This window comes from Homo sapiens, chromosome 10 (genome assembly GCF_000001405.40).
Source record: "Homo sapiens chromosome 10, GRCh38.p14 Primary Assembly".
NCBI classification, from domain to species: Eukaryota; Metazoa; Chordata; class Mammalia; order Primates; family Hominidae; genus Homo; species Homo sapiens.
Window position 1 is genome coordinate 47,136,943 of NC_000010.11, and position 10,819 is coordinate 47,147,761.

Below are 10,819 nucleotides of genomic sequence, written 5' to 3' on the forward strand. Positions count from 1 at the left end.
AGGCTGGAGCTCCCCTTTCTTGTTATTGCCCATCAGGCATCTCAGGCTTGGCAGGCTGTCTGCTGGCCTCAGCACTGCAGCTTCCATGGACTCCAGCTGCAATGAGATTGCCAAGGCCTGGAAGTGACACTGCTTCACTTAGCAGCCCCGTTCCCCAAGCCCCTTGCACTCAAGGCGGACACAGAGTGGAGCTACATTAGGTGGCTGAAGTTTTTCGCATGATTCTCTGTGGTTAACTGGCTTCTGGAGTCACTGAACATTCCAGGACCCTCACCCCCTGGTCCCATGGTTCAGGGCTCTGGCAGGGGTAAAGAGAGGACTAGAAGTTGACTCTCTTTTTGTCTGTTTCTTCACTGCTCCCGTCCGAGACCTGAGGTTCTTTCCAGTGGCTTCGCTTATCTTCCCAGGGAAGTGATTCAGCCCCCAATTCAGGCCCTTTCATTACAATAAAAAGTCAGTGAGACTAATTCCTTAGATTCTATATTCCCACAAAAGCTAACTAACCTCCAAAACTCTGGGCAACATGAGCAGAATGCCAGCAGACCCCACCTCACCCTTGGTCCAGCCTGACTCCTTAGCTGTAGGGTTCCTGGCCACGTATGCACACTATTTACACTTGATAAGCATCCTCCCACTCCTTAGTCCTATTATTTTATTGATTCTCATATCTTGGAACAAAGACCTCTTTCAAGACAGACAGTCCCAAGGAATCTCAGACATTTTGGGGGGCCCAGAAGAGAATGATTCAGAGGAGACTGAAGGCTTAAGGGTTGACTCATGGATGTTTAGTATTGCTACAGACACTGATCTTAGGTCAGGCACTGCTGGGAGCTTCATTCGGGCTGACAGCGGCATTTATGAGAGCAAATGTCTGTCCCTGCGCAATTTCTGTGGGGATAGTTGCAGTCAGGTCTACAGGATTTGCTTAAAAATTTCCAAGACCTGGGTGTGTCTGACAGCCTGGACCTCAACCTCAAAAAGGAACTAGCTCCTCTCTGATTTCCTTGGGACACCTGGGAGCAAGCACAGGAGCCCATGGAGCCACGGAGAGTGTCACTTCAAGCGCCTCCTGGGAGCTCTTGCAGATGCCAAGTGCTCTGCCCTTCCCCATTACCTGTGATTTCAAGTGGGCTTAGAGATTCTCCAAGATGTGAGATGAAAGGCCAAGAAACTAATTCCTCTGACTTCTTCAGAGAACCGCACAGTCTCTTGAGGTAAGATCTTCATGGAAGGCTGGGGATCTGGGATCTGGGAAGCCGTGAAGTCAGCATCCACTAATACGGGGCTTCTCCTGGAATCTGCCCCATGACCAGGGAATCAGGTGCGAGAACAGGCAGGTGACCACTTCTCCTCTTGGCCCCGCCAGGCCACCCGGGTTCCAGGGGACAGCAGGGTAGTAGCCCTGATTCTCCTTCCTTCCCCATCACCTCTCCTGTGTCTCTCCCCAAAATCCCCAGCCTTGGCCCTTCTGGAAGAGGAGCTAAGGATGTCCGAAGCTGACACCTCCCCCAGCCCCATGACCACACTTGGTTTGTTCCCTCACGTATCCAGAAAAAAAATGTTTTACTTAGCTTCTTCGCTCCACCACCCCCACCCGCCCCCACCAACCAGTGGCTCTCTCTTTATGAGGGCATAGTTTTTTTTTTTTGGAAAAATCTAGGTTTGAATTCAAGTTCTTCAATCTGCTAAGTAGGTGCCTTTCACAAGTAAATGATACCTTTGTGCTTTAATTAGATGAAGAAAATCAGAGCCGTGAGGATGATGATAAAGGTACTTAGAAGAGACCAGGCACAATGGGGGTATGTTGTATATATATGACTCCCTTCCTTCCATGTTTGTCCAGCTAGTTCAAGCACAATTGCTCAGTGACTGTCTCCTCATGCCCCTGATCAGGGCACTTCTCTCCTGGAGACAGAGGGGGGCTGGGACTCAGTGATCCCAAGCTGCCTGCTCACAGCCTCTTGCGTCCAGGACCCAAGCCCCACTGAAGTGCCCTTCCAAGGAGGCCATCAAAACAAACAACACAGCTCCTAAAGCAACTCTCTCATGAGCTGCTTGAGTTCCAAAAACAGCCTACCATGTTTCATAGGAAGGTTTATTCTGTAATGCAAGTTTGAGTAACACAACAGCCTCTCCCACCCCACACTGCTGTAGCTTATAATAAAAACTCAGGGATTTAAAAAAAAATTGGGTTGACATATTGCTATTCCTGACCCAACAAATAAATAACTAAATAAATAAAAAGAGAGAGAGAAAGAAAGAGAAAATACAAGTGCAATTATTACCTAAGCTCAGGAGAAAGTCTGCAACTGTGTTTCTGAGTTAGCAGAATTTCTGGGTCATGATGTTTGTGGTCAGAGGGCACCCAGGGCCTCTGCAGGGCACGTCAAGCACTTTTCTGTGCCCTTGACTTCAATGAAAGAGAAAAAGGCAATAAAGACCAGGAAGAGGTATGGTCAGATGCAGACGCCAGACACTGGGATGGCGTTTACAGCTGAACAGGCCCAGCAGGAGGAAATGAGGCCTGGGATCTAGCGTGTGTAGCTGCGGGTAAGTGACAGCCCGCCTCAGGCCCTCGGTAAAAGGAGTCTCTGTGACCCAGGTGTGTCCGGAGTTGGTTCCTGCCAGTAGGTTCGTGATCTCGCTGACTTCAAGAATGAAGCCGCGGGCTAGGCGCAGTGGCTCACATCTATAATCACAGCACTTTGGGAGGCCGAGGCGGGCGGATCATGAGGCCAGGAGTTCGAGACCAGCCTGTCCAACATGGCGAAACCCCGTCTCTACTAAAAATACAAAAATTAGCCAGGCGTCATGGTAGGTGCCTGTAACCCCAGCTACTCAGAAGGCTGAGGCAGGAGAATCGCTTGAACCCAGGAAGCAGAAGTTGCAGTGAGCCGAGATCACACCACTGCACCACTCCTGCCTGGGTGACAAGAGCAAGACTCCATCTAAAAAAAAAAAAAAAAAAAAAATGAAGCCGCAGACCTGCAGACCTTGCCCGTGTCACAGCTCTTAAACATGGCGTGGACCCAAAGAGTGAGCAGTAGCAAGGTTTATTGTGAAGATCTAAAACAAGGTTCCCACAGCCTGGAAGGGGACCCCAACAGTTGCCTCTGCTGGCTGGGGGGTGGCCAGCTTTTATTCCCTTATTGTCCCCTCCCATGTTTCATTTATGTCCTATCAGAGTGCCCTTTTTTCAATCCTCCCCATGATTGGCTACTTTTAGAATCCTGCTGATTGGTGCATTTTACAGAGCACTCATTGGTGCGTTTTACAATCCTCTTGTAAGACAGGAAAGTTCCTGATTGGTGCGTTTTACAATCCTCTTGTAAGACGGGAAAGTTCCCCAAGTCCCCACTGGACCCAGGAAGTCCAGCTGGCCTCACCTCTCACTGGCAAAAACTGAGAGCAAGGATCTGCAGCCTTTCTTTCCTGTGTCCTACCCAGAAACATTTCCCACTGGGGAGAGCAGGGCCAGATACTACCCTGGCGTCTGCCTGTTTTTCCTGCCTCCTATCCCCTAGTGAGACTTGTGAGTCTCCAGCCAGGATAAGAACGGAAAGTAAATTACACAGGGCTTGACACCTAGCAAGTACTTGAGAAATGTCTGTGACAATAGCAACTCATGTGTGGATTTGATTTGAGCACAGGCCAGGCTCTGCTCCTGGTGCCCTACATACATTAACTTGGTTCACCTCACTGTGTTCCTGTGAGGCCGGCAGTGTGGTTATCTCCATTTTACAGATGAGGCAACTGAGGCACAGAGCCATGAGTGGGCTCGAACTCAAATGTTGGCTTCTAGCATCTATGCATTGGCCATCGAGTGGCTTGTCCTCTCAGGCTCTGCAATCCCTTCCTCTCCTGGAACCTGGAGTCAGAGCAGAGGGAGCCCCAGCCTGGAAGACTTGGGAAAAGGCCTTTCAGGGCAGGATGCCATGAGCTGTGGGAGGGTTTGAAGATGCAAGGATGTGGCGCATTTTAAACCTGACATATTTCATGTTTGAAATTCTCCCCTGACACTCTCCAGATGCAGGAAGCCGTTGAAGTACACATGATTCAAAGCCATCTCAGGTGAATAATGTGATAATAAAACAGAAGGGAGTGAGGGTTAAGTGCTATGGGACATTTTACCTGCAGTGTGAGAGCCAAGCTGCACATCAGCTTCCATCACCAGGAATTTGGGAGGCCCTGCTGAGGTTAGCTGCTGGCCATCTGCACTTGCTAGACAGTTTTATCTTTGCGATGTCAAGACACGAAAGACAGGGCAGGCAAAGAAGGCAGACTTCGCATAGAACAGGAGAGCTGTGAAACTGTATGACTCTGACAGTGCCTTGGAAGAGGGCATAGTTGCTAAACAATACCCCACAAATAATAATTCCCTTTTCAATTCTCAACCAATGAGAATCCCAGATTGCCCTGGTGGTCTGGGCACTTGATCCCCAGCTACTCAGCCTGACTCACTAAGCATGTCTGAGGGCCAAAGGGCCACTCTTAGCTGCCAGAATTGGGCCAATAAGTGACCAAGCCACTGCTCAGCAGGCTCGGGGGTCTGCACCTGTATCTTCAGTGTCAGGAGCAAGAAGGACTTGTTTTCATGGGGGTCCTCCATGCGTCGTCAGGCACATGCCATGGGGCAGGAGCTGCCGAGTTGTTGCTGCCCAGACTCAACTGAGGCCACAAACCTCGCTAAACCTCAGTTTCCTCATTTGCCAAGTGAGACAGTGATGACTCCCCAAAGGGCTGCTCTGGGAGAATGGACTGGCAGGAGGTGGGAGGCCAGGTGGTTGGTGCCCTGGAGATGGAGGAAGTAGACAAGGAGGGAACGGAGAGATGGCAGAGATTCTCTGTCATCAGGGTTTAGGAGTCTTTACTGCTGATGGGGGATGGGCCCAGGCTGAAAAGCAGCTCATCTGAGGTCCACAGAGGCACCAACATCCATGAGCAGGTGCAGAGGTCAGGGACCAGGGGCTTCCCTGGCATCTTGCTGTACCGCATCTTGTGCCCAACCCATTCCAGACTCACAATTTCACCACCTGCTACGTCCTCCAAACCCACTCACCTCACTTTGTGTTCACCACCTCCATCTTGCCCAAATCCATCCCGTCTTGGGCCCACATCCCCTTCCCATTCGGCAGCCATGCTTGCATCTGAGGGGGCTGTCCATTGCTCAACTACGTCTGGGTTTATTCTTGCTTGTGGGATGGAGAAAATCCCTCCCCCTGGCCAGAGTCCACATGTGGACAGCCCTGTTCTCCTATCCTGCCTCCTCCCCACCAAGTCCCTCTGTCTCCCAAGCCTCCTCCCCACCATGTCCTCACCCCATGCTCCCACCCACCCCAGGGCCTTCCTGCATGCACTGTGTGCCTCAGTTCCTCTCCCCTCTCCTCTTCCCAGGGCTTCCTCTCTCCTTCAGGTACTTGGTCTTCCTGGTGAGAAAATAGCTCTGATATGATTTGGATCTGTGTCCTCCAACCAAATCTCATGTCTAATTGTAATCCCCAATGTTGGAGGTGGGGCCTGGTGGGAGGCGTCTGGATCACGGAGGTGGATCCTTCACAAATGGTTTAGCACTGTCCCCTTGGTGCTGTTCTCCTAATAGAGTTCTCACCAGATCTGGGTGTTTCAAAGTGTGTGGCATCTCCCACCTGTTTCTCGCTCCTGCTTCTGCCATGTGAGATACCTGCTTCTTCTCTGCCTTCCGCCATGATTGTAAGTTTCCTGAGGACTCCCCAGAAGCAGAAGCCACTATGCTTCCCGTATGGCCTGCAGAACCAGGAGCAAATTAAACTTCTTTTCTTTATAAATTACCCAGTCTCAGGTATTTCTGTATAGCAGTTCCATAATGGACTAATGCAAGCTCTAGCATGTGTCGATGTGTGTGCACACCACAGGCCACTCTTTCAGGGCCTTTGCCAAAGCAGCACTTTTTTATTTTGAGAGAAGGCCTTTCCCTGAACTCATATCTGCCTCCTTTCCCTACTAGAAGAGGCAGGAGCCTCTGTAGCCCAGGAAGGGGCTGAGTCTGGAATATCGAGTCCATGGTGGCTTACTTAGCACTGAGATTCTGTGGCTCTCTGTCACCCTAGAAGAGCAGCTTTTGTGTATTACACCTATCATGTGAAGTGGCGAGGACAGAGAGTCCACGCCTCTCTGTTCTTCATTCTGGTTACATTCTGGATTCACGGCATCCAGAGAAGGCCTGAGGCTCCCTGATTCGTGTCAGGAACAGAAAGCGGGGCAGAAGGCTGCTTAGTGAGGCCTTCTGGGTCGGGGTTCTGGTGAGCAGTGGACGCCCTCGGGCTACGGCTGGGCTGGGATTGCACACACTCTTGGAAATGCAGACAGAGCACACACAGCTGTGACACTGGGAGTTACAACCACTGAGTTATGCCCCATCTCCTCCTTGAAGTGGGGTCTGAATCACAATCTAGTGCTCAGGTCTCAAAACCAAAGTGCCTGGATGGGCCAGACCTACTTTCGGCCCCTTTAGCTCCATTTGTCCAAGCCAGCAGGGAAGACCTACACTCCCACGGCCTGCTCTGTCAGGAGAGCAGAGGCAGCTCAGGCAGGTCCCTGAAGAGGGTGTTCAAGGATCAAGCTCTGTCTTAAAGCATGAAGGGCTCTCCAGGTGGGCATAGAGGAGTATGGGGGGCAGAGGTGCAGGTGAAAGTGTGGAAGCCTGGGGACAGGTGTGGCATGTTCAGGACCCAGTAGTTGGTGGTCTTCATGGGAAGTGTTGGGAGAAAGAGCTCAGACTACAGGGCAGGGCAGAGTGTGAGCTGCTAAGGGACTTCCACCAGATTGCCTGCTGCAGGAAGGATAGGGAGATCTTCCAGAGGAGAGCCAGAGGGCAGGGGGGCCTGGGGCTGGGGGAGGGAAGGAGGCTGTAGTCACACACCAGCCAAGGGAGGCCAGCCTGAATGAAGGTGGTCTATGGGTGGGGGGGGTGCAGAAGGGACAGACAGATGAGATGGAGCACAGCCTCCTGCCTGCCATCTGCTACCCAGGAACCTGAATCCACCACCCGCTCAGGGTGGAGCTCACACAACAGCAGGGCCTGCATTGGTCACAGATAGCCATGGGTCCCCCCACCTCTTGCTCCATCCATTGGCCTCAGGCTCTGGAGGACGGCAACAAGCAGGGGGATCATCCTCATGGTGAAGAGGAAAGGCTGTCAGTGTCCGGGATTGGTTCCTATCCCTTTTGGAAAACTCCAGGGACCCACAGACTGGTTGGGTCCTGAGTGCTTCAGTAACTCCCCAGGGGCCTTCAGCTGGGTTCTTCTTCCCTCTGTGTTGCCACCATCCAGGCATGGGGGTCTCCCTGACCAGGCCCCTCATTCACTATTATATGTACTTGTCAGGCACACACTGGTACTGGGCACTGGGCCCTCTCTCAGGGACAATGAGATTCAGTCCTTGTCCTAAGGAACCCACATGGGGCTAGGCTGAAGAATAAACACACACCGAAAAATTTAATGACACACTGTGGTCAGAGGGGGAAAGAACGGAAGCAAGTGCCTTTAGAGAAAAAGGAGTGAGGACTTACTGAGAGCGAATCAGAGAAGACATCCGCCAGCGGCTGCTTTGAAATTGAATCCTGAGAACCCATGGGAGTTGCTCAGGTAAAGAGTGAGGAGAGGTATTCCAGGTGCGTGGACAATTGCAGGACAAGTCTCTGAACAGGTAGGGCATGTGTGCCCTGGGGAGGCAGAGAACAGTCAGGGGGCTGCAGCACAGTACTCAGGGATGGCAGGGGGGAAGCCGGAGAGAAGCCAGGCCCTGGCGAGGCCCAGCTGAGGCCCTGGTGAGGTCCTGGTGAAGCTCTGGTGAGACCTGGTGAAGACCTGGTGAGGCCCTGATGAGGCCCTGATGAGGCTGTGATGAGCCCTGGTGAGGCTCTAGTGAGACCTGGTACAGCCATGGTGAGGCCTTAGTGAGGTCCTGATGCAGCCCTGGTGAGGCCCTGGGGAGGCCTAGTGAGGCCCTCATGAGGTTCTAGTGAGGTTTTCATGAAGCCGTGGTGATGCTCTGGTATGTCTGGGTGCCTGTGTCAGGGGTCATATTCAGGGCCTCAGTGTCCCCAGGCCCAGCCCAGGTTCCATCACAGAGCAGACATGTGGGGATGATCATCCCCTAATAGAAGTGGTGATCTTTTAGTCCCAGGGCTGTGGGCTCTCACATCCCCTCCTCTGGGGCTGGAGTGGTAGTTGGGAGGTCCAGGTCTTGCCTGGGCTCCTGCTGGCCATGCCCCGCTTGCTGGCTTGGGCCTGCCTGCCTAATGGAGGAGGACCCCTGGCAGGCAACACAGGCCCTTTTTCTTTGTTAATTACTAGCTGACATTTTAATGTTCACATTTAATTACATTCTTCACCACTTGGTGCAAAAAAACCAAAAACACTTGAAGCCTTGGAGACCTATAAACCAAGTAAGAGAGCTTTGTAAAGCCCTTTGAAGTCCCTGCTGAAGCCCAAAATGTGTTTTCTCTTTGAATGTGCTGATTGTGTGATGGGGCTTTTGAAATGAGGAAAGGCTATGGGACCTGTGTGCACATTCACACTAAGCCCCCGCCACCAGCATACACACATGTGGGTTGGAGACACCCAGAAACCCACTGCCGCCCCACAGGCCCCCGAGTCTACACAGCTGTTTTTTTTTTTTTTTTCTGGGAAACAGCAGGAGTTAACCAGAAGAGTGACGGTTGTGCATGGACGGCCCTGGTTCACAGTCCAGCTCTGCCATCCCTAGCATGATACCTGGGTGAGTGACAAAGTTTCCATTTCCTCCCCCACAAGGCAGTGGTGATGTCCCTGAATGAGCAATGCCCACAGAGCCTGCTGTGTAATACTGTCTTATCCACACTGAGTAAGTGTCTGCTTTAATCAGGTGACTTGCTACATGTTTGCCAAATTGCAAGTTAACTTTATATGCTTTAAAATGTTTTCCATGAAATGAATTCACTTTCCAGAGAAGAGTCCTCCCTGGGACACTATCTTATTCCTTTTTATGCTGTAAAACAGAATTCCCAAGACTGGGTAATATATAATAAACATTTATTGGATCATGGTTCTGGAGGCTGGGAAGTCTAAGATTGATGGCCTGGCATCTTGTGAGGGCCCTCTTGCTCTGTCATAGCATGGCAGAAGGGAAAAGAGAGGGTGAGAGAGAACAAAAGATCAAATTCACAGCATCAAGCCTTTTTTATAATCAGCATTAATCCTTTTATGAGGGCACAGCTCTCATGGCCTAAATACCTTGCAGTAAGCCCCACCTCCCAACACTGATGCATTGGGGATTAAGTGCCCAACACATGCTTTTGGGGGACACATTCAAACCTTAGCAGACACTGTGTGCTCATTGCTCCAGCACTACAGAGCAGATTTGGAGCAGTCAGGTGGGGAAGCTCGCTTTGGGTGCCTTCACATAACTGCATTTCTGACCTGCCCCATGATAGTTTTGCTGTTAAGATGCTTGTACACCTGACAGCAAGGTCCTTTTGAGGTTGGTCTACAGTTCATGCTAGCCAGACTCCTTGGCTCCCTCTTTATTTTCTGCTCCAGTCTGGGAGCAGAAAGGAGTGGGCCATTGTGGCTGAGTGCATTTTCCAAAGATTGCACCAGCAGCATCTCCTTCCCACATGTTCTTCTGCAATGAGACTTTGCCACTCTCCCCACAGGATGGGGAGGCCAGGCCCCTCCATTGTGAATCTTGGCAGGCTGTAGCCACTCGCTTGTAACTAATAGAATGCAGTGGAAGTGAGGCTGCGTGATTCCGGTTGGGTCAGAAGAGACTTTGTTTGTTCTCTTGTGGGATACTTCCTCTTGCAACTCAGCTGCCATGCCATGAGTCCACACCCAAGAGAGTGGCAGTCAACAGACATCTGGCTAAGTCCAGACTTGCAGTATTCTCAGCTCAGGCAGAGAGATGACTGAAGTCATCTGAAGATTCTAGCCTCCAGCTGAGTCCCAGATGCCAGAGAGCAGAGACAAACCATCCCCTCCATGTCATTCAAATTATTGACCCACAACATCCATGACTATAATAAATTGACTTTTGTTTTGCACCACTAAATTTGAGGTGGTTTATAAACGGTGAGACAGGCATGGGGATGTCCAGACAATATACTGCTAGAGGTCAAACTGGGAGGTGGGTGATGAGTAGTGACCAGTGTGACCATGTAATTTATCCTTCAACCTGGGGCAGTTTGAGAGCGAAGTGAAGGTGGAAGAGAGACAGAGAAAGACAGAAAAACAGAGACAGAGAGAGGAACAGAGAGAGAGAAAAAAAAAAGGAGATCCAGATATCTATGTTTCTCTATCTGTATCTCAATGCCAATAGGTATATCAAAATAATGGCACAAACTGGAATTATCTTGGATCCCTGGTCACCCTAGGGATGGGCTGATTCATCACTGACTCTTTCCTTTTCTTCCAGCACTATAGAGGAAAAGCCTGGCCTTGGCTTTGGAAGATCTGGATTTATGTCCCTGTTGAGTCATTTTACTAGCTGAATGACATTGGATACATTACCTAGATAATCTTCCCAAACCTCAGTTTTCTAGTCTGTAAAATAGAAGTAATAACTCCTTTTATTTTGTTCAGCCTTTAAGTCATAGCAATCAATCTTTTGCCCTTACAATGACTGCTTCATGTCAAATCCCAAAGGCTCTGTTCAGTTCTCACCTCTCTGGCCTCTCTGGTATCCAGCCCTGCCAACTGCCCTTTTCTTGAAGTATCTTCCTTTTAGTTTCTGCAGCATCTCTCTACTGGTTCTCTTCCTGCTTTTCTGGCTGCTATTTCCCAGTTTCCTCTATGGCTTTT

General features: G+C 50.6%; 1 annotated feature.

Annotated features, from left to right (window-relative positions):
* Nucleotides 229–1,428: an enhancer, noted in NCBI's record as "CDK7 strongly-dependent group 2 enhancer chr10:48600992-48602191 (GRCh37/hg19 assembly coordinates)". NCBI's record gives its function as "activates an origin of replication core promoter dependent on BRD2, BRD4, P300/CBP, MED14 and CDK7 cofactors, with strong dependence on CDK7, by STARR-seq in HCT116 cells {active_cell/tissue: HCT116}" and the evidence as "EXISTENCE:reporter gene assay evidence [ECO:0000049][PMID:35650434]".